Genomic DNA, 24,837 nt, shown 5'->3' with positions numbered 1-24,837 from the left:
TCTTAAGTAGTTTAAGCTGACCTAGACATAGATCTTAATTATTATTCTATCTAAATCTTGGGAGAAAAGTACTGATTCATATGGAAGCTTATATTTTTAGCATCTTTTAAATTTTTGTCCATTTCTTGCAATTCCTCTTCCAATTTTTTCCACAGGTTTGTTGTGATCCAGCACAACTGTGTGCCTAAATTCTGAGTATCTTAGGAAATGTGGCATGTTTTCCCCAGTGTAAAAGTTATGGCTATTTTGTAGAGAACACTGGCAACTTTATTTGGTTCTTCTTTTTAGAATGCATTGGACGTGTTATTGCTTCTAGAGCGACTACTTACGAAAATACTAATACAAATGAAACTAATTTAAATATACTGTATATTCTTCATGGCACTAATAAAATTGATACTGACATTCTCATCTTCTTATTATACTCGATGTCAGCTACTATCATCACCATTAAAAAAGCAATTTATAACCACAGGCCCACCTTTAATCATATTTCTTATTAGCATTTCCAGTCTTTCCTCCAACACAATTCAAGTTACAGGTGGTGTCGAGAAGACTCACCTGTGTCTTTCTAAATCATGACCATTGCATTATCTCTGCTCTTTTCTTTTATTACTATTATCCTTAGTCTGAACCTCATGCTATTGCATCTACTAATATTGGTAATTGTCTCTTGCATTGGCAAAGTGTTTTTACACCAGTCCAGCCCCCTTCCTCTAATTAGGAAAATATATTCTAGCCCCTGAAATGACTTTCCTATGTGACTACTTAGAGAGACAAATGAATTCAGGCCTCTTAAGTATATTAGAGTCAAATCTCTCTGTCCGTTCATAGTCTTTTTGCTGTGTACCAATTTGTCAGCTTAAGTTTGGTAATGAAAGTTTTAATTTAAGTTTCTCTCTTTGTTTTATTTTACATAATTTCTTACTTTATATAAAATCCTATCATTTGGCATTTTCCTGTAAGTTTTAAAATGTTAAATATTTTATGAGCTCTCTAATCAATTATAGATTTATTTAATTTAGTTAATTAATTTATTTTTTGAGACAGGGTCTCACTCTGTCACCCAGGCTGGAGTACAGTAGTGTGACCTTGGCTCACTGGAGCCTCAACCTCCTGGGCTCAGGCAATCCTCCGACCTCAGCCTTTGGAATAGCTGGAACTACAGGCACGCGCCACCACACTCAGCTAATTTTGTTTATTTTCTGTACAGATGAGGTTCTCACTATGTTGCTCTGACTGGTCTCCATCAAACTCTTGAGCTCAAGCAATCTTCTTGCCTTGGCCTCCCAAAGTGCTGGGATTATAGGTGTGAGCCACCATGCCTGGCCTAGTTATAGATTTAACAATAACATTTCATGAGTATGTGAAAATTGTTATGAATTACAGATCTAGATGGCTTTCTTGTTTTTCTTTTATATTATTTCATTCATTATAGTCTTTATATCAGTAATAGATACTTTAATATTTTGGAATTTTTTTAGAATTCAGTTTCCTTTAGTGGTCATGAGTTTATTGGAACTTATTACATAAAGATTCCTGGAGGTGATAACTAAAGAAAAAAGTGAACTGATACTGATTTCTAATAGTAAGTCTTCCGTAAGTCCATCAGCCAGGTAAAAGGAAATTAATCATTTTAATCATGAAGTTAGAGAAAAGAAGGGAGAAACTCTCTTCTTTCCTTTTGTTGTTATCATTTCCAAATGTGGGGCTCAAAGCATGTTTTAGAGATTTAATAGCATAACTACTATATCATGTTGGCAATGTATCTTTTTCAATACTAGGCCAGACCTGAACATTAGAATCCAAGAAACTGACACCTTCAAGAAAACCCTTTTTACCTATAAGCCACTTTGAGAGGGACTCAAGACTGATCACCCAAGAAGCTGATGATAAAAATTAATTTAGAAGAGAAGTGTCCCTCCAGGGTGTGGCAGAGGCATCTGTAGGGTTCAGCCACCCCGGCATCGGCCTTGTCCATGCCTCTGTGTGATGGAGGGGCTCCGTGTGGAACATGAGGCTGGAGGCCTCACACCAACAGAAGCATTCCAGAGATTATTTTATGTTTACTGTACTGTTCTTACTAGGGCAGAAAAGTGTCTTAAAATATATTGGGGAAGCTTTCAATAAGAATAAAAACAAAAAAAGACTTTGTAATTTAACAAGTAAAGCCGATGAACTCTAATGCTCTTGTATGTTTATGTATTTGCATAGCCTATTCTAGCATTTAGCACTGAAGGTGTATTGAGTGGGCCTCAACAGGTGCGCACTGAGTGATTTGTGGGAACAATGTGCACAGCGTCTGGTTGGAGCCATACAGCAAGCCCATAAGGTTGTCAGGACAAATGACATTACCTGCATTTACTCATGTGCTAAGTTCATGGAAGTTAAGTGCTTTATACCTGGCCTGTGACAGGGAAGCGACTGAATCAGAGACAGGACTCAGGTCCCGTCTCCAGTCCAGACCCCGCACCTCCTGCAGCCGTGCCATATTGTCTGCTGCAACTGCAGGCTGCTGCATGCCACTTTACTATCCACACTTTGGGGAAATATTAATTTAAATTTTATCAATAAATTAATAAATCAAGCTGAAAAGTATCCTAACCTTCAGACAAACCCTACCACATCTTCATAATTCTCTGCACTGCCAATTATAAAGAGACCACTGGCCGGGCGTAGTGGCTCATCCCTGTAATCCCAGCACTTTGGGAGGCTAAGGCAGGTGGAACGCTTGAGGTTAGGAGTTTGAGACCAGCTTGGCCAACATGGTGAAACCCTTTCTCTACTAAAAATATGAAAATTAGCCAGGGGTGGTGGCACGCACCTGTAATCCCATCTACTCAGGTGGCTGAAGCAGGAGAATTGCTTGAACCCAGGAGGCGGAGGTTGCAGTGAGCCTAGATTACACCACTGCACTCCAGCAGCCTGGGCAACAGAGTGAGACTCCATCAAAAATAAAATACAAATAAAATTAAAATTAAAAAAATTTTTTTAAAAAAACAGACTACTACCATTTCCTTCTAAATTGTTTCCTAGGAGCTAATCATGTGATTTTAAGTAGATGTTAAAATATCTAGGAAAGACTCAAATATACATCCATTTTATTTGTTTTTTCTTTTGAAATGCCATCTCCCAAGTGATGACCTATCAAGGGCCTTGTATTCCCAAGGCTGATTTTGCAGTATGGGAGGTGTGAGTCATTTAACCTACACCTGAGGCCTGTAATAGTCATTTACAAATGGACTAAAAGTGGAATCCTCTTCCTTCATAGTAGCCTAACCACAAAGGACTAAATAGTTATGTTTTTCCAGTTTTTATTACATGTATGTAATAAAATATATATATTATTATATAAATTACATAGTACATAATATATATAACTGTGATTATACCAACCAACACAGTGTAATAAAGCATAGTGTGTGTGTGTGTGTGTATATATATATGTATATATAAAATGGTGATTGCAAAGGACAGAGTACTCTCCAGCTTGTCTAAGGTCTACTTTAAATCTTAATATCTGTATTTTAGAAAAATACTACGGAGCTAATGAATAAATGTCCGTAGAGTTAAGAGACTCAGAAACAAAATAAGAGCAGGAAAACATGCTTTATTTTCTTTGCCTGTTTTTCTCTTCATTCAAATATTATCACAAGGATATTGGTGGCCTCTGTCAACCAATAGATTACAGGAGCTGAGAGTCTAAGGCACTAACATCTCTAAAAATCAGACATCTTCTAAAACTGTGGCAAAATATCACCACTGCAGGCTGCATGTGAGGATTGACTTGCATTGTCAGAGATAATTTTTTCATCCATTTAGCTTTTCTTTTCTTGTAATATAAATATTTTTACACGCAGAATTTGCCACTCTTGACTGAGGGATGAATATTTCCTTTGATATTTTTTCTTGTGCCCTAGCATAGTATTAGATGTTTCAGTGGATACGCAATTCACAGCATCGGTAACAAACCCAGGGTATGATGTAACAGCATTGTTGTGGGTGAGAATAGATCACGTCCAGCTTGGGACTCAGAGGTGCCCCTGGAGCCTGCCGGCTCAGAACCACGGCATCCCCTGGGGGCTTACTAGAAACGCAGCCTCCAAGGCTCCCTCTCGCCTTTTAACAAGATTTATAAGAAATTAACGGGCGTTTGGAAGTTTGAGAGGCACACATCACAGAGACCATAGGTTGGACTTTACTAATTACTTAGAAAAACTCTTCTCACCATTGCTAATTTTCAGTGGTAGAAGGTTGGCTGAAAAGTCAAGAATCTGGGTTTCTTTGGTATTTTCTTGATCTATGAATTCTTGGGGAATGTTAATCATTGTTTGCATTTCTACTTGAAGACAAGCAGCAGAATACAGAACAAATGTCCAAATCTTGACAGTAGTGTGGCAAAATGCACAACCCTTGGTCTGTAAGTCTTTGTTTTTACCTCTTAGAAGTGTTTGAAATCAACCAGCTCTTCCTTAAACATTCATCATGTATCAGAAATGAGAGTTTAAGGAAGGAGACTTTTAAGATGCTATTTTATATGCTTCCAGAGATGACTCTATAACCACCTAAATTGTGTTCTGAGAGTATTTAATTACATGTCTCTGACAAAATCTGAAGTCTCCGTCAAATTCCATATGCCTGTCACACAGCTCCCTTGCAGCTTTGGTAATTTGGGAACTAAATTGCTAAGGCTCTTTTGGACTTGCTCAAGCACTGCACGGGTCGTTGGCTCCCTTTGGTCCAAATCTTCTCACCCTGATGCACTCTTCAGCACCTCCAATGCAAACAAAATTATTTGACTGCCTATCTCTTTTCTCCCCAGTCCTACTTGAAGAAATGCATGAACTTTAATCATCAGGCAGAATACTTCCTTTCTTGCTATCTTTTAAGTAAACTATACCTATTTGAGGTCTCATTTTAATTATATTATATGCTTGCAAACATAATGTTTCTGACACCTCATAAATTTTTTTCCTGCTTAAAATGTGAACTGAAATAAAATGTGTCCCATAATGTTGACAAATGGACGCCCTACAATCCAAATATCATGTGCTCTGGTTTCCAATATTTCCTCACAATGGTAAATTCTCAAAACTCTACTACAAACCCTCGCCTAGAATTTGACTGGTTTGTCAAATTCTATGGTACAAAGGTTGGCAGAAAAGCCAAGAGTTTGTGTGGTGGAAAGAACACTGGGTTAATAGCAGCCCTGTGTTCCGGGGCTGTTTCCCTGATTAGCTGTGTGACCTTGGAAAAGTGTTCAAAGATCAAGCCTTGCTGCCTTCTTGACTAATGAAACTTTTTGCATATAGCACTTTGAGCCCTGGTGTCATGGTTCCCCCTACCCCCTCCATGTCAAAACCTACCTTAAAACAATTTTTAATTTATCATACATAATTCTGACTTTTTAATATACTGCCTACTTTTTGAAGACAAGGAATCTATTTTATTTACCAGTGTAGGCCTCGTACATGATGTTGCTTGAGAAATATTTTATTTTACATTATCTACCCCTGTATGTTTAACCTCTTGAAGTATTCAGCTATATCTTGTGAGTTCATCTTTATCTTTGATACTCTCCTTTGCTACCTTTTCATTTGGGTTTTTTGCTTGCGTAATTTTTCTTCTTGTTTAGTTTCTTCTCCTTGTAGGAGAAAATCACTTTTATCCCCCTTCCCACCAACAAATTCTGTTTTTTCAATATCATCGCCATCCTATTTTCTGAGAAAATCCTACACCTAATGCTACTTCTGATTTTTCATGATATAAAACATTCTTTCCATCTCAACTCTGTTCTAGGCCATGCCTGGCATAATTCTTTCCTTTGTCTTTTGACATATGGAATTTGTACTCATTCTTTCAGGCTCAGGACTGATACCACCTCCTCCATGAAGTGTCCCCATGACCTCCCAGACTAAGATTTTTTCCCATTGTGTTCCCCAAGCACTTCTTTACTTGTCTGTTTCAAAACACTTATTACTTTGAATTGTAGCTGTTTTGTCATTCACTCATCCATCTGTCCACCCATTCAGAAGAAGAAAGCAGATTCTCTGCCTTCGGCTTTACAATTTCGTTGGGGAGACAATAAAAAAAGGAAAAACCTATATTTAAAAAAAAAACTTTATCATATATAATTCTGCCTTTTTAATATGCTGACTACTTTTTGAAGACAAAAAATTTATTTTATTTACCAGTGTAGGCCTCGTACATGATGTTACTAGAGAAATATTTTATTTTACATTATCTACCCCTGTTTGTTTTGAGAATAATGTAGCTTGTAATGCATGATAAAGGCATTTCTATTTAACATGTTGATTCTCTACAACTGTCTTTAAACTGCCTGTGACTTCTTTCCTTCCAAGTTCTTAAGTTCTTTCCCTAATTCTATCCCTTTACTTGTATTTTTAAGAAAATTTTATTTTATTGTGATAAGAACACCTGAGCCCTACCCGCATAACAATCTAGTTCTGGCCCCTTTAAAACCAAGGCTGTTTAGCCAGCAGTTTCCATTGGCCCCTCAACTACGAATCAGCCTACTCTGTTTAATCGTTTCTAATTCATTTTTCTGCAATCAATAAGGGTCTTCCTTTATAAGTATATTTTATCAAAGTATCAGACATACAAGGGAGATGCCCTTAATTCTGCCAGTGTCTCACTTGGTCTCATTTGGTCATTTTCAAATGGGAAGAGAAAACAAAACTGGAATCAATGAGCCCACCGCCCATCCCTGAGCTGCTTGTAGGAAGGGGTCAGCCCAGGGAGTCTGAGGACGGGCGTGGTCTCAGACTGCAGGGTCAGGAAGCAAAGTGACTGCCAGGACCCAGGAACTCTTAGACGAAACTGAAGGCTGGGCAGCCAGGCACGGATGGTGTAGATTGGGACGAAGAGCCACATCTGAACAGCAGTTTTTTTGTTTTTTTGTTTTTTGTTTCTAAGGATTCTCACTGTGGTTCTCTGCCTGAGTTACAGGAACTACTCCGGGAGGCTCACCTGGGAGTGGTTCTCAAAGCTGGGGTGGGGAATGTTCTTCTAGGGACTCCTGCCAAATCAGGGCAGGGGAGTGAACCCTGCATAGGGAAATGTTGGAACATGCCCCTAGGGGCATTCTGTTTGCCTTTGCCCCAGTGTCGAGGCTCAGGGTAAATTCTGTTCTTCCAGATTGCCCCTGTGAGAATAGAGAGAAGTAGACTCCTAGACTCACAAAGTGCTCAAGGTAATTCTCTCGAGCCCCTAAGGACCATCCTCCTGGTCTTTGGAAGCTGACCCAGAGCCTACAGTCTGTCCTGGAAGATCAGCAAGCTCTGCGTTCTTGAAGGAAAAGCTGGAAGGCTCACACAACCCTGGCCATTGTCAAAGAAACTTGGCTTCCCAACATTGCAACCTCCCTGGTTTCCTCTACCTCTCAGACTGCATCTTCTCAGGTCTCCTTGCTGGTTTCTCAACACCCCAGTCTCTGACACTGGATTCCCCAAGGTGCGTCCTTGATCCTCTTTGGTGGTGATCTTTTGGTGATCTCATTGGGGCTTTCAGTACATTTGTATGTCCATAATTTTACATCCCCAGCACTCCTCTCTTTCCTGAATTTCAGACTCATATAACCAACTGTGTGGACAGTATCTGCAAATGGATCCCTGAGGAGTATTCAAAATTAAAATCATTATCTTCTGCCATGAATTGATATACCCACCTGCTTCCCGTGTCAGTAAATGGGGACATTCAAAAGTCTTGGAGGCATCCTTGACTCTTCTCTTCAGACTCTATGTCTGATCTGTCCAAATATCCTGATGGCTCTAACTTCAAAATAAATCTACCATCTGACCATTTCTCACCACCTCTGCTGCTGTCACTAGGCCCCTAAGCCATCGCGGCTCACTCCAATCACTGTCAGCACCTTCTTACAGGCTTTCCTGCCTCTGTTCTTCCTCATGTAAGATTCACTCCACGAGACAGTCAGAAGCCCTTCGATGAGTTTCCCCTTTCTTAAAGGAAAAGACCACATCTTTACTCTGGCCTGGTCTCCCTTCCCTGTTCATTGCCCCCTACCCAACTAGAATCCGCGCTGGGTCCCCCAGACCTGCCGAAGCCTCAGGCCTTGGCATGCTGTTCCTGCTGTCTGGAATGTTGTTCCCCGCACAGCTGCGAGTCTCACATGCTCACTTGCACCAGGTTTTTGCTCAATGCCTCCTTGTCAGCAAGACCTTCCTTGACCTTAGCCTTTGCAATTACAAGCACTTATTCCAGCCTTCTTTATTATTCTCCTTCTGCTTTATTTTTTATGAAAAAAATTTGTCACCTTTTGACACACAATCCAACTACTTATTTACTTTGTTCCTAATCTGTCTTTTTTTCATAAGAATATAAGTTTTGTGGAGCAGGAATCTCTTAACTCATTGATAATATCCACAACATCTAGAATAGTGCCTGCCACATTATAGGAGCTAATAAAAAAAAACTGAATAAATGTGTTCTGAGTGCTATAGAAGGCACTGGAATGAGACACAGGAACTCATAGTTTTTGAAAGCTAACAGCCTACAAGTCATGAAAACACATTGCGGTAATTCCTATACGACATTTACATAAGGGAGCACAGTGGAATGAGCAGCTCCTTCTGGCTGGGGGTTTGACCTGAGTTTGAAGGAAGAGAAATTGCCCAGGGAACTTCTGCTGTCACAGAGCAGGCACTCCTTGCAAATGAGCTAAACAACAGTGTGAGGCAAACTCTTCCAGAAGCCTGGTTCTTGGCTTGCTATGGGTTTAGGTGGCCATGGGTCAAAGGAGCAAGGATATATAGGACTAGAGATTGCTCCTTGAGTACATATGAAGCATAGTTCTCTCCATTACTTTGAACTTACTTCTACTTGCCTATGTTTAACAAGATATCCCCATCTTTTAAAAGCAACAGAAAATCATATATCAAAATTAAGCTTATAGTTCACGATCCAAATGCCCTCAATTTTTATAATTTTGTGCCTTCATGAATAAAGGTTTGATGTTCTGTTTATTTCTATATTTATAACAGATGCAGGGCAATTTCTTGGCAACACAATAGACCAAGGCTGCAGACAGGTTTTTAACCCCACGATCCCTGTGTACCACGGGAACAGCCCTATAAGTAATGATTTACATTTGCAGGATAGCTCCCAGAAGTCCAGCCAGCCAGCATGAGGGCCAAATGGTAAACACAGCATCCTGAACCCTTCCATGCCCTGAAGCATTGCCTGTGTCTCAGAAACTGTGCAGACCCCTTTGAATGCCTTGTCTTGCTTGATCTGTAGTACCAGGAGGTGGGTGCTACTGTCCATGTTGTCTAGATGAACAGATTCTGGCTCAGAACCGTGTCACGGATGGCTTTGGCATTCTCCAGAAAGAGCAGTTGTATAATAACCTGAATGAGAATATGAAATGTTAAAAAAAAAAAAAAAGGTTATGTAATGGAAGCTTAAACTAGGATGTAAGCACTGGCAAAATGGCAACTTCCACCTCCACTGGTGAATGGAAACATCAGGGCACCCCATGAGTACCAATGAGGCCATGGCAGAAGCAGTGTTGGGGCTAAGCCTATCTGACTTCCAGGTGCCCACAGCTCCGTGGTGGGGCTGGAAGGAGGTGGGCCTGGGGAAGTGTCATTTGTCAGTAGTTCTGGTGTTGCATGTGGAGGAAGGCACAGGTACATGTGGAAGGGGTTAGGGCTACAGAAAGTGATATGTGGAGCTTGCAGGCTTCATTGTCAGTTGAGTGCTTCTCTATCAGGTTATTTCTGTTTCAAGTTATTTGTAATTCAATAGGACACTTGGCTGCGGAAACATTTCACAGATTTGTGTGTGTACATATATATACATATACACACTCACACATAGAGATATTACACATACATTTATATACACATAATTATAATAATATACCAAAGTAGGTGATCCCTGCTAACTCAGTATGCACATGACTACTGTAACACATGGTCCTCCTTTTAAATATTACTCCAGTATGTTAGCGAGTTCTGTTAAATGATTCATGCAATGTTCCAGTGAAGTGGAGATGGATAAACGGAAGCATTCCAAGTATCAAACAAGTCTTATTCATATTTAGCAAAACCTGTGTATATCTATAGGTTTTTAGTTTTTTGTGTGCAGAAAACTAAAAAAGGAGCCTATATTTATGAGCCAAACATCTGTGTTTGGGTAAATGTCAAGAAGTGAAATTGACATGTATGATAGTAGTTATAAAACAGCCACGGCCGGGCGCAGTGGCTCATGCCTGTAATCCCAGTACTTTGGGAGGTTGAGGCAGGCAGATCACAAGGTCAGGAGTTCGAGACCAGCCTGGTCAGTATGGTGAAACCCCATCTCTACTGAAAATACAAAAATTAGCCAGGCGTGGTGGTGGGTGCCTGTAGTCCCAGCTACTCAGGAGGCTGAGGCAGGAGAATCACGAAGGTTGCAGTGAGCCGAGATCGCGCCACTGCACATTGCACTCCAGCCTGGGTGACAGAGCAAGACTCCGTCTCAAAAACAAACAAACAAACAAATAAAACAGCCACATGGTCTTTAAAACGCCTTTTGTCTTAGTAACTTAAAAAGCCAGAAAATTACTATATTGCTCATATTACTGAAGAAGTTCTGTATTTGTGTGTGTGTGTGTGTGTGTGTGCTCATTTTGTTTTGCTGTTTTCCCTCTGTGGGTCTCTATCTTCTATTCTCGTGTCTGCCCTCTAGGCTGTTTCTCTGAGGGTTGTGCTGTGTCTGTATTTCTGCTAGCTTTTGACTATGTAACTGTGACATGTGCACACTTCTTTCCCTTCCTTCTTTTTGGCCTCCCTGCCCTCATTCTTTCTGTTTTCTTCCATCTTACCCACTCTTTCTCACTGTTCCTTCTTTTTATTTTATCTTTCCTTCTTCAGATTTCTACTCTAAGTGTTCATGCTAGAGAACAGAAGGACATCTGTACTTTATTCATTACCGTACTAATTAGACCTTTATGTTTCCTGGTCTTCACTTAAAGCCCTCCTAAATTAACTCAATTTTACATATGTGGCCCTGGTTTGAGTGCTTCTGGGGGTGACTGACCCAGAGTAACAAAGAAGCTCCAAACCCTGTCATCAGCTAATGATGTTTACTTTGTGAATAAATGAGATCGTTTTCATTAGTAAGGCTGTGCCTGCTTCACAAACGTAAATAGGAACTTAGTATTTGATGGATTTGGACATGATGTGTTACAGAGATAATTTTTTTAGGTTGTCCACAATAACCTCCCCAACACACCCAGAGTTGTCTGGATAATTCACATAAACTTAAGTTTAGGTACATGAATAAAATATTCATTGCCTTTGTTATTTTTGTTTAAGAGTAACTTTGCAGCAGATATTTTTCTAAGTATTTTACAATCACTGTCACTTACTATGTTCCAATGTCCCCATTCAACACTGAGAGCCGAAGTAGAATTTTGAAATGGACTTTGCTAGGACCTGGCTTTTGGTTCTGCATTCTATTCAACAACCTCCATTAAAATGTAAAATTCTTATTTTGTTTATAAAATAACTGCAATTTACTTTGAACTCCAACTTTTATGACAAAGTTAACTGTTTCTCCTTTTCTTGGAAGTATGTATGCAAGGGTTCCATTTCTCCTCAAACTGCAAAAAGTGTTTCCACAGTGCCTAGAAGACGTAGCAAATAGCCCTTACCTCCAGGAGGCCCTGGGACCTGTGCTATGCATGAGTGACAGTTGGCTTCCTTCTCCTAAAGGGTTAATTCCAAGACCCCAGTGGCTGCCTGAAACCTCAGCTAGTACCAAACCCTATATACACTATGTTTTTTCCTATACATACATACCTATGATAAAGTTTAATTTATAACGTAGGCACATAAAGACATTAACAACATAACTAATAATAAAATAGAACAGTTATAAAAATACGCTGCAATAAAAGTTATATGAATGAGGTCTCTCTCTCAAAATACCTATTGTCCTATACTCACCTATTTTCAGACCTCGGTTGACTACAGTCAACTGAAACCATGGAAAATGAAAGCACGGACAAGGGGGGACTACAGTATGAAATCAGGGAGAAGAGACACGGGACATCAGTCCTCACAGGACGAATGCAGGCATTCGCCAAATAAAAACAGAGGATGTGAATTACGTGGTGGGGTGAATGAAGCTTCTGCATCATTCATGGGAGTGATTTGAAAAGAATATGAAGATACTTGTATTTAAGGTTTCTTTTTCTTTTAAGTGTGAGGTTTAGGGCTTACCAAACTTTCTCTCAGGGAAAAACTGAGCTGGCATGGTTGGTTCCTCCACTGACCCAGGAGCAACCTTGTAGACCCAGCCTAGGCAGGTGGGAGAAAAGAAGGGGAGAGACAAGGGCACCTCCCAATCCTATCCTCTGCCCCCAAACCTCTACTTCTGTGCTTAAGCAGCACCCAAGTCATTTTTGCTTTTAATTAACCATTTTTTTGCAAGCATATTCTGCTAATAAAATTTCTGCTTGGTAACGTGATTGCTATTTCAAATTAGATGAAATACTAAATGAGGGAACATTTTATTTTCTTCTAAAACTAGATGTTTGTGAATTTACAAAAAGTGGAATCTATGTGGTCTGATCACATGCTGAGATGATATATACAAATAAAGTACAATACTTGTATCCCCCATTATTGTGGCATTTCACAGCTCTTATTGTTTTACTTTATTTTTTGGTTAGAAATACAAACTTCAAGCAAAAAAAAGAGAATTTAGATTATTCACCAAGTTAGTTAAGGTAAAATTGAGGCACTTTAAACTCAATTCTATACATTTATTTAACTGGCATATGATTACCTTAGATGATTAAGGTGCTTCTGTTACTCAACCACATTTAATATTTTTTAGCAGATACAATCTATAATAAAACCCAGTACTTATCCAAGATCAATTAAGATGTTGCAATAATCTTCTTTAAAAGTTTTTTTAAGATTATTTTAAATATTCCTTCCTCAAATATAGTTATGATTTTGGTAAGGCAAATATTCATAAACTAAGTGAATTTTATTTTTATCTTTCTTTATGATCAAAATAAGATAATTTATGTTTAATTTTTCCTAATAGTTTTTAAGTTTTATAACACTGTTTGAAAAATAAATATAAAGTCACATATATTTTATTATATTATATACTCAAAAGAAAGTATTTTGAAGTATTACTCAAATTAAAATAACAGTGTGGGCTTTATTGAAGCCAAATTTACTAGCAAACAAAAATAGTAATAAATGTCTGTATCTGAATTCTTTCAGTATCTTGATTCTAAAATCCACATAATGTTCATCTCTTAGTATCTTCAATTTTCTAATTTTATCTTATTATATTCAACTTCTGCTCTTCCGGGTACATCCCTATGATCCATCATATTACGTTTTTGAAGAAGCCAGATCCTGTTTCTATATTGTATAGCTAATCCATGGCTATGCAGTAGCTGAACTGCTCTGTCAATCTCTGGGCACTTAAAAGGAGTTTGGGAGTGCCCAAATGATTTAACTAAAACATATTGTCTTTGAGTATAAATTGAAAGACATTTATTTATATTTTATATTGAATGGTATTTCAAATGTTGGTGTATAATTTTGTGTTTTAGCCGATGATTGAATAGTTGTTTCTTTAAAAACTTTGGTCCATGTGAGGATTAAATTATCTTTAAAATGATATGATTGTTCATGTTCTTGAAGAGTAGACTTTGGAACTGATCAGTTCATGATGTTGGAGTCATTCAGTCAATCTTTGTGTGGACCAGTTAGGGTTACTTGGCTCACCGGCTTCTGCTGGCTTACTTCTTGTCTCTTCTTTGACTGTCTTGCAAAAACACATCCTCAGTGGCGGGGAGCTGGGCAGAGAAGCCCACATGGATAAGGGAAGTTAGTCCCATCATCTGCACAGTAATGGGTGGTTGTTGATGGCTCTCCCGGAGGAAGGCAGTTCTCCAGATGCAAGACGCATGCTTTCACCAACATTCATCTTCATATGCTCACATCTGGGTGGGGCTCAACTTCAGTGGTCTTTCACTGAGCATGCTCCTAACACACAGACCTCATATTATGCACCAGAGATATAAAAAGGAGCAAGAAACAGTTTCTGTTCTCTTGTAGGTGTTTCCAGGTTACTGGGAAGATGATTATAGTGTAGAGAGATAAGGTTTATAATCAAGGTGAATGCCAAATGCCTTGCTGGCATAGAAGCAGTGTATTGTGACGCTGTCACTGGAATTACATCACAAAGGAAGGTCTATTCACCCAGTGTGAAGTGGCAGCTGGGGAACCCCACTTACCTACTATTACCTCACGATTCAGAGGAAATTTCCTGTTACTCCTCTCGTTGTTATTAAATTGTATCTTTTAATGGCTTGGTTATTTTATGAAAAAAATTCTGTGGTAGACGATATGCAATTAATTTATTATTTATAAAACTTAGTCCCAACTAAATGAGAAAAAAAAGCATTTATTAGCTTTGGCCTTACGGGAAAAAAAATTCTCCCCTTTTATAAACCTGACGTTATCAGATAACCTTGTCAATGGAATCAGTGTTCCATGACAGCAAACCAACCATCAATAAATAGCAACAACTTATTAGTCGCTGAATTTATGACATGAGTAATAGGAGAAGGCTTCAATTATAGGTTTAACTGTTGGACACACTGTAGCTCGGTAAACATGAGTGTGGTCACAAAGTTTCTAAGACATAGGTGAGAGAGTTGGCTCATGAAGTTCAGGGATTATCCTTACAGAATGAGCAATAGCTTCACAGTCCTCACTGGGTAAAAGTGAATTTGTCATTTACAGTGGCCCGTTAACTCTCTTAGGAATCACAAGGCCTATTTCAGATGAATGCACAAGACTGTAACTTTTCCCCAGGGTCCTGTCTCCTGATTTCCTAAAAATACAGTCCAGTTAGCCATGTACAGATTGTGTATCACGCAGCACAGCCTGCCAGGGAGCAGTACCTGTCAGATGTGAGGGAAGCGGGACTGGGCAGAGAGAAGTTGAATTGCAGTGCAGGTTCTATGGAAGGCTTAGCCAACTCTGCCAAGAGCTTTGGTGATAGATTCCTCTTCAGAGTCGGTCCTGCCTTGAGGCAAGTGTGAATATGGGCTGTCCCAGGGAGATGGGACTTTGGGTTAAATGGCTCTCAGGTTGAGGGCAATTTTCAGAAGTGAATTCAGCTAACGCCCATCAGCTCCCCACACTTTCAGCCAGTAGGGAAGATGTGTACCTTAGTCCTGAAGGGAGGAGGAGGTGCATACCATGGTATACACAGACATCTACACCTTTCCAGCTTGAATCCTTTTATACTTGCTTTGTATATTAACTTCATTATCTACCTATACTTCTACCCATTCCCTTCATCCTTGCCAAGTTCCTCTGCTGATCTAGACAGTTTACTTGGTTGCACGACTCAGATCCTTTGAGCCCTTGGTCACCATGACCTTCAGATTCTCTGCCTGCTAACCTGTTGATTTGCTGACAAGTTTGGGCCAGAAACAGTAAAGAGATACCCCAGTGGATCACTTGGGTGCTATATATATCCTGTCCCAATATGTAATAAGCCCCCAGCCCTACAACTTCCAGTGACCAGGGTCAGTGACTCCTGCCAGGACGGTATCTATTTTCCTTGCCTGTTATCTCTCAGCAACAAGAACCCAGGTGACAGAAAAGGAGTCTGAGCTCAAAGTTGAATAGGACTCTTTCTGTGTACCCTAGTGAAAGCATTCTCCCCTTGGGAACCAAGATCCTCAGACCTACAGGACCTAGATTTGGAGTAATGAATGTACAAATCCTTTAAGTAGTCACTGGAAATTATGGTAAACCAAGCTCCTCCTAACTGTACCTTTTTTGTTCTTGGATCCTTGTATTTAAACTGCCGAAGACATCACATTCTGTAATGATTTTTTATTTGGCATGATGCCTCTCAGGAAGACACTCATCCTGGTAGGTGTCACGTCCAAGCTAGCCTCTCAGCTATGCCTCCATGAGGCCATTTTCCTGCTCCATCAGGCTAGCAATTTCTGGGCTCTGTGGTGTGTGATAGTATCAGTGAATCTTATGATTGTATTTCCATGGTTATTTTCCTAAGTGGGTTCCTTGGTCCAGGGAGATGCATGAGGATTTCCTGTTGGTAGAGCAGACACTCTGCATGACCTCAGGTAGATATGGTCCTGGCTGAGGCTCTGAAGGCAGAGAAGGCAAATCCATGCCCAGAATTTGTGTCAGTTCCAATCAAGTTCAGTTACTGCCCCTTCTACAGTGGAAAGGTCCAGTGGTTGGTTGGTTTCTTCCAGGAATGGTGCCATGTTGGGAGGATTCATTGTCAGCATTGATTTCTTTTGGAGGCAGATTGGACATTGGGCTGTGGGCATAGCTACATCAGTCTTAGTGAGAGCCTATGCTGTTGGGCCTGTTCAATGCCCCAATCCCTGCCACTAATGCTACTCCATCAATGACCCCTCTGTGCCAGCCCTGGGAAGCTTGAAAACAGACTAGACAACTCCACCTGGCCAGGTTGTTCTGTCTGTGGGTGGATTAATGCCTCCTCTGGTAAATGCCCTTCAGTGCCTGTTGTCATGCAAAATTAAGACCTTCCCATTTCACCCCCAGTCTCCTAAGTTCACCCACATGCCTCTTCCTCAGACCTCCTGTTCCCTGATATTCCAGTTAAACCATTCATCTCCTTGTCCCTGCCTGACTAGCTAAGCTCTTCGCTTTGCCCATGGGCCCGCATATTTTCTTACCTCAGGCACTTTTCTCTCCATGCAAAGTGGAGAACCAGCTGCACCTGAGCCCTTCCCTATATCTCTGCCCATTGGGAAGATTTCTTCTCTCTGCTCCTCTCAGACTCACCCTTAAGTTGTGACCTGCTGACCAACTTCACACTGAACTCAGATGCTGAGGTGAACCATGTACGAACTAACTCTTCCTTTTCTTTTCTTCATAGCTGTTATTCAGAAGCCTGCACATGCCCTGCATGTGGTAGTTGAGGGTGAGGTACTCCCGCCACTGTGGTGGATGTCACAGGTCTGGGCTGCCTGCTCATATGGCTTGCTTGTTCCCACTAGACTTGTTTCAGCCGAATTTTGGACCTTCCATCTCATGATGGATTGTTTCTGGGCCTGCTTGACATTATGACTTGGTGAGTCTAACGGAATCCAGTTCATGATGGTTGGCTCTGACATCATGGTCAGGGATTTTGTCTCTACTAGGGCTGTTTTTCTAGCAGTGCATAATTCTTTGCTGCACATGACATGGCCTTGCTCCAGTCCCCTGTGGGTCTGCATTTTGATTTGTCTATTAGACCTTGCCATGAATTCCATCGGCATCTTTTCTGAGCACAGATACCTCTAAACAAACCATTGGCTTTACCAGGTTGTATGGCCCAAGCAACAGGGCTTCCCACACTGCAGCCTGGACTTGCTATGCAGCCAAAACTGGCCTTGTCTCTCAATGTGTGATTCAGAGCAGTAGTCCCAAGTGTGGAATATGCTATCCCCAGAACCTAAAATAGCCAATATGATATTATGCTTCCTTCCCAGTGGTGGGAAGTGTGAGATGCAATAATTTGTCCTTTGTTATAAGTGGGCATATGCCAGAATGCCCCAGACCACTGAGCCCCTAAGCACTTCACCGATATGGTGTGCCCCGAATCTTCGTTCGACTTATCTTCCATCTCTCAAACACAGATGTCTTGTCAAAGCCTCCAAAATACTTGCCACCTCCTGCTTCTCTGTTCTCCTTAGCATGGTATCATCAACAACATTTACAATGGGATGGTCTGTGGGTTATCCAGATTCTCCGGGTCCCTTCAAACTATATCCTGACAAAGGATAGCAGTTAGCACAGCCCTCAGCAAGATCACAGCTCTGCATGATCTCATCATTAGAATGCTAACTACTCTTGGTTCTGCTTCCGATAGAGATGGAAAAGAACACATTTACCATGTCAGGGACTGCAAAACATGCATTTGAGTGTATGTTAATCCACTAAAGCAAAGATCTCATATTTTGGCATAGCAGCTGCAGTTGGGATCAGTACTTGTTTGACGTGATGGCAGTCCACTGTCGGCCCCCAGGATCAGTCTTGTAGGGTCCACACTGGTTAATTAAATGGAAAAAAAATGATAGGGACCATCAGCCATGCATCCTATAAGTTTAAGGGTGGTACAGCTTGAATCTCCCTTATCTGAAACGCTTGGGACATAGAAGTGTATTGGATTTTGGATTTTTCAGAATTTGGAATATTTGCATATACATAATGAGGTATCTTGGGAATGGGACCCAAGTCTACACATGAAATTCATTTCTGTTTTATATACATGTTTTACACATGGGTTAAAGTTAATTCCATACAATATTTTTTAAAATTTTGTGCATGAAACAAAGTTTTGAATGCACCTGTCACATGAGGTCAGGTGTGGAATTTTCCATGTGTGACATCATGTCAGTGCCCCCAAAATTCAAATTTTGGAGCATTTTGAATCTTTGGATTTGAGATACCCAACCTGTACTAATGTTTGCCATTCCATCTAGAATATAATGTTTAAATCTACTATCTGGTAACAGAATGGGAGAAGTTTTAGAGGATTTCATTTGTGGGTCTCACTTTATTAGCTCCTACCGCACTAGCCAAGAAGCCAATATGTATCTGCACCAATTATACATGCAGAGACCAGTAGTACACCCATGAGAAAGATTTGTGAAGCCAGGACACCCCCTGGGACAGGTTTTCATTTGTGATCTGCCCCCATATTCTCCCACTCTATCAAAGGGCCATGATGAAGCTTCAGTCCCTAGGTATCAACTCGGACAATAAGTGCAATAGTCCGTGAATGCTTGTGCAGTCTTTTTTCCCCAGGGTAATTGTTCTCCAAGTAAACGACCATAGGTCCTTAAGAAAAGAGACTAGGGAGACCTTCACCATTGGGAACTTCCTTGAAAGGACATGGCTCTTCTCTTTCAATCACTGGGTTCTGAGTTTAAGAACTGCTTCAGGCCCAGAGACAAAAAGCCAAGAATCATCGATTTTCATTGGGATGGGTTTCCTGGCCTATGGAAGGTATCTATCCTAGAATGTCCACTTCTCTGAATCTTTTGATCCCTTCTTTATCCTTTGTAATGGCAGTTCTGGAATCACTGATTAGTGTGGGCCATTGTTTTTCTAGGCTTTCAAATGCCAATCCAGCATGGGAGTTGGCTTGCCATCAACTTTCCCTTATCCAAGTTGATATTCCATACCTTTGATCCAGCACCTTCAGGATCCAGCTTGTCTGTACACCTCTAGCTCCTGCCATACATATGAGCTAGATCCTGCAGCTCCTTTTGGCCTGTGCACCCTTTCTACTCTTAGAAAGCCAGATGCTGTGGTGTGATGATGTTGGTTATTGTTTGGGGGCAAGGAGGGGAGATGGAAGCATGTATTCATCATCTCCAGTGTGATGCAGGGAGAAGGGGACTAATTTTATGGCTCAGAGGATCCAGGGCACTCTTAGGATTTTATATTTCTTAGTGTGTCAATCAAAAGGTCCAGATTCTGTCACCATATGCAGTAGGCATTGCAAGTTTAACGTGCTCCAGTTTGAACTCCCAATCTCCAACCCTTGTGAATCCTGCTTCTGCAAGTCCTACCCATCTCAGAAATGGTAACTACATGATTCCAGTTCTTAAGAGAAAAACCTTGTAGGCATTCTTGACCCTTTACTCTCTTTTACATCCATCATCTAATCTCTCATAATTCCATTTGCTTTCTCTTGCAAATGTATTCAGAATCTCACCAGTTCTCATCACCACTGCTAGTACAGCCACAATCCAAATCACTCACATCTCTCATCTGGTTTATTGCCATAATCCCTGACCATGCTCCTTGTTTCTAACCTTCTATCTACAACTGTTCTTAACATGGAAGCCAGAATAGTCCTCCTAAAATACAAATCAGCCCGTCACTCTATCAAAACACTACAACGTATTCAAATCTCACTGAGTCAAAGTTCCTAAAATGGTCTGTAGTTCTCAGCATAATCTGAATCCATTATTTCTCTGACCTCATCTCCTATTATTCCTCCTCCTTCACTGTGCCTGAGCCTTTGTGTTCGCCTTCAGATGTGCCTTGCACGGTGCTATCTCAGGGCCCTTGCACCTGCTGTTTCTGCTGCCTGCAATCCTGTGCCCCACTGTTTCTGCATTTTCTCCCTTATCTAACCTCCTTGAGATCTTTACTAAAATTCAGTCTTCTTAATGGGGCTTTTCCTGACCACATGATCTCAAACTCTGATCCTTTGCTAGCATATATTTCCTGTTTCGCTTCTCTGCTGTATTTTTTCCAAAGCAAACATCTTCAAACATATTATGTATTTTACTCAATTTAAGGATTTTCTATCTCTTTTCTCCATAATAAAACTCTAGGAAGAGAGACACTTTTTCAATTTTATTCCATGCTATATCCTTAAAACTTACGACATTGATAAATAAATGTTTATTTAGCACTTATTACGTATTTATTGAATAAGTGAATATTTCCAAAGTAATATAAGCTGGAAAAATAGTACTGTCCATATACATTGATTTTGCTGAATAATTGTTGAGTTTTGTTTTAACTAGAAGTATGCAAAAGGAATTAAAGATCAATTGCATTAATTAATAATCATTATTTTAAGTATAGATTGCAATTGTTTTAGAAATGTGGTATAGAAATGCAAATTAACTCAGACATGGTTCTTTAATTTATGTATTGGGTAATTAGGCCAAATGTACATACGGATACCATTGAGAACATCTGCAAGACAAACTCTCAACCAAAAAGCAAAAAGGATCACCTCTCTTTAATCACAGCTCATCTTAGATTTAGTAAATGAAAAATGCCTTTCCTTTCCTAGGTCAAGGAAAATTTTCCCCATCAGTATCTCAAAAAAGTGATCTATTATCCTTTAAGAAAAAGTTGAGGACTGTAATTCTAAACCAAATAAAGTTCAACAATTGGCCTCTACAAAGTAAGACTGTTAATTTGGAAAGCTTTTTATATTCTTCCATCATTGGCTGTGTTCACTCACTGGAGCAAGTCTGCTCATTAAATCATTGAATAGTATGATATGGATAGTTTCAAGGACAGTATTAAATAATTGTAGGTATGATTTAGGTCCAGACTGCCTGAGTTCAAATCTGGACTCTTTCATTAATGGCTGTTTTATATTTGACAAATCAACCTCTCTGAGCTTTAGAGATATAATAGTACCAACCTCAGGATATTATTACAAGAATCCAGTGGGCTGATACATGTAAATAATTTAGAGCACTCCCTGGCACATTGCAAGTACTCACTAAATCTTACCTGTTATCATTGGCTCTATTGGGTTTAGAACCTACAATTAAAGTCAGGACCTTTGACTTTAGTCTATAAATACTTTCGGTAATCAAAGAAATTTGCAGCTCACATTGGCTGAACATTATACCAGGCTGCAAATGGACCTGCTAAGACTCTTTTTTTTTTAAGTAAACTTATTGAAGTATAAAACATATCCAAAAAATTCACAACTTATGTATGTATAGCCTTGTGAGTTTCCACTAGATGAACATACCCATGAAACCACCACCAGAACAAGGAACAGGACTTTATCAGCATCCCAGCCATTTCCTTCATACCTCCCACAGCTGTGACCCTCACAAAAGTCATCATCCCTGACTCCGCCTTCATCGACTAATTGTGCTGGTTTTGGACATTATGTATGCACTTTCATTGCCTAGATTCTTTGACTCAACCATATGTGTATCGGATTCATCCGTGTTATTTGTAGCAACAATTGCCTTTTCCTCACGGCTAGCGTATTCAGAGCCATGAATATTCTACCGTCTTTTATTCATTCTGCAGTCAAAGGACTATGCGATGTTTCCGGTATGGGAGAGACTACTGCTGTGAATATTATTGAACATACCTTTTGTGCATATATGGACATGGCTCTTTCAGGTGTGTACTTAGGAATGGAATTTCTGGGCCATGGGTAGACATCTGTTCACCTTTAGTAGATACTGTTGAGCAGTTTCCAAAGCAGCCATACCGATTTACCTGTGCTAGCAGTGTATGAGCGTTCCAGTTGCCTGAGATCCTCACCGACATTTGGGGTTTGTCGGTCTTTTCATTTTAGCCATCCCAGTTGGCATGAGCAGTACCTAAGTGTAGGTGTTTGCATTTCCCTGGAGACGAAAGAATCTGAGCACGTTTGCATTTGTGTATCAGCCAAAAGTTCTTTTGTGAAGTGACTGCCCGTGTACTTTGCCTAGGTTTAAAATTGGCAGTCTGTCTTTTCTTGTTTATTTGGAAGAATTCTTTATATATTCTGTATAGAAGTTATTTTTTGATGTAGGTACTGCAAATACCTTCTCCCACTCTTTGGCTTGCTTCTTCTCTCTTAATGGTCTTTGGAAAACCATACAGCATGACATACATATAGAAGAGTATGCATATCAAGAAGCGGGGCTCATGGCTCTTCACAACCTCACAGTGCTTGTGTAAATGGATGGAGAAATGGAATGTTAATAGGAGGCTCCCCTTACTGGTTGGCAACTTCTGATAAATGAAAGTTTTTCATTTTAATGTGCTCTGATTTGTCAGTGTTTTCCTTTAAATTAGTGTTGTTTATAAACTGCTTGAGAAAATTTTGCCTACCCCAAGGTCGTGAAGATATTATCTCACATTTTGAAGGTAATATCTCACATTTTCTTCTAGAAGTTTTATTATTTTACAGTGCAAATTCGCCATCCTTCTGGAGTTTATTGTGTACACTGTGAGGTACAAGTAGAGGGATCTCTTTTTCAGATAGATATCCAATTAATCGAGCACTGTTCACTGAAGAAACAACCCTTTGCCCAATGATGCCTTTGTCATCAGTTGACCGTGTATGTGTGGGTCTATTTCTGGACCCAATAAATGGAACATCTATGCTGTTCCATTGGTCTGTTTTTTTTAATATTTGCACCAATAATACCTCATCTCAGCTACTACAGTTTTATGACAAGTTTTGACATTCAACATTGTAAGGCTTCCAACTTTGTTGTTCTTTTCCAACATTGTCTTTGCTCTTCTTGGTTCTTTTCATTTCCACAGAAATTGTAGAATTAACTTGTAAACTTCTAAGAAATATCCTCTGGAGGTATTGGTAGGAATTGCATTGAATCTAATAGATAAAGAAGGGGAGAGTTGAAATTGCTATACTGAGTCTTTTCATCCATGAACACTTTGCATCTCTCTATTTATTTAGGCCTTCACTAGCTTTCTCACTATGTTCTTTACTGTGTATAGGTTTGTACATCTGTTAGATTTATTCCTAGGTATTTCATATTTCTATGCTATTGTAAATGTTTTTTAATTTTTATTTTCTAATTGTTTGTGGCTGGTTTATAGAAGTAAAATGAATTTTTGAATAGTGAACTCACTAAATTTACTTGTTTTTAAATTGTATCTGTAGATTCCTTTGGATTTTCCTCAAACATAATCATACCTCTACAAATAATAATAGTTTAATTTTTTCTTTTTCAATCATCATACCTTTGTTACTTTGTTTCTTTTCTGTCAATCTTCTTAGTCTTAATTCAGATTCATACTTCTTGGCCCCTTTCAATGAATCTGTGGTATTCTGTCTCATTAGAAGAAATCAGTAGGAATACCTGCTATGAATTTTCCATGAAAATTTTGAAGCATGTAAGTGTTTTCCTTGGACTCAGAGGTTCACAATCTCTGTTTATTTTTGCATTTTATTCTTTTGGGGATGTGTGCCCAGAATGTATCTATTGCTGAACCTACATTTTAAAACTATGTTACATAACTTCTGAAAACTTCATTGAGAATTTATTACTATAGTAGGTAAGTTGAAAACTCTAGATGTGGAGGATTCACAGTTTCCTAATGTATCTTTTCTGAAACCTGAAAGGTCAACACATTTGACTTCTAAACATACTTCCAGTGCAGAATTGATCACTAGTGTTATCTAATTATGGTTTGCTTCAATGATTTTTCAAAAAAATTTTCATTCAACTATTGTGTCAAAGGGAATATCATTTCAAATGAGAATTCAAGTTTCTAAGTAAAAGGTATATTTCTCAAATATATAATCAAAAAGTTTCAGGTAAAAAATACAGATCTTTTAAATAGATTTTAATACAGTCAAAACTTGAAAAGTATGGAGTTGAAAGATATTTGCTGCATTGATAAAGTTTCCTGGGGGACGCTGGATGTTTAAAGCAACAGTTTGATTGAATAGAACAATAAATGCAGGGCTGAGTGTATTTTTTCTCTTCTTTTTCATCTACTAGAAAAATATAGATAATAGAGCTCATTTATTTCCTTAACATTTCAGAGCTCCGCAGATGGGAAAACACAACCCAGTGGAAATGATTTCTGGCAACCTTGAGAAGATATGTTAGCATTTTGTGGCATTTCTCTCAGTGACATGTAAAGCATGGCTTTCCCTCATTGCAGTGTCACAGTGAAGTGTCACAATAAAGCCAAAATAGTGTGCCCTCAGGGAAAACTAGGAAAAGGGACCATTTTCCATGCACACACAAAGAGTAATATTTATTATAAAGCCTTTCATTTCAGCTCCAAATGCTGCCTGGGCCGTGGGTATTTTCCAGTGGAGAAATGCACAGAATGTGAGATTTAAAGCAAATGTTATGTGTAAATCTAATGCAATTTATGTAAATATAAATAATATGTTAAAAAGTAGAATGCCTTTATGGACATACATGCATTGCGTAAATCTCTGTAGCGTGCCAGGGAGAAAGCTTGCGATGCTGCATTAGCCAGTGTTGATGGAGTCCAGAGAGCCCTGAGCTGGGAGCCA

At 39.5% G+C, this 24,837-nt stretch overlaps 1 protein-coding gene and 1 long non-coding RNA gene across 61 annotated transcripts in view; one reads left to right on the top strand and one right to left on the bottom strand.

Moving 5' to 3' along the window:
- ST18 (ST18 C2H2C-type zinc finger transcription factor) overlaps positions 1–24,837 on the top strand; it is a 299,042-nt gene that overhangs the window by 201,345 nt on the left and 72,860 nt on the right. Inside the window, exon 10 of one of the 60 annotated variants that reach the window (NM_001352863.2) lies at positions 7,159–7,213. The exons of 58 other annotated variants lie outside the window; for them this stretch is intronic. The gene's annotated coding sequence lies outside the window, so the exon portion shown is untranslated. Of the gene's footprint in view, positions 1–7,158; positions 7,474–24,837 lie in introns of all 60 variants that reach the window. One more of the 60 variants, NM_001352868.2, reaches the window with a different exon arrangement.
- On the bottom strand, positions 8,983–14,173 carry ST18-AS3 (ST18 antisense RNA 3). The gene is made up of 2 exons (NR_134310.1): positions 13,782–14,173; positions 8,983–9,386 (listed from the first exon to the last, which is right to left on the bottom strand). It is a non-coding gene; the product is annotated as an ST18 antisense RNA 3 (long non-coding RNA).

The sequence above is a fragment of the Homo sapiens genome, chromosome 8 (assembly GCF_000001405.40).
Source record: "Homo sapiens chromosome 8, GRCh38.p14 Primary Assembly".
In the NCBI taxonomy this organism is placed as follows: Eukaryota; Metazoa; Chordata; class Mammalia; order Primates; family Hominidae; genus Homo; species Homo sapiens.
Note: the sequence above shows the minus strand (reverse complement) of the source record. Positions and strands in the feature narration are given on the sequence as shown.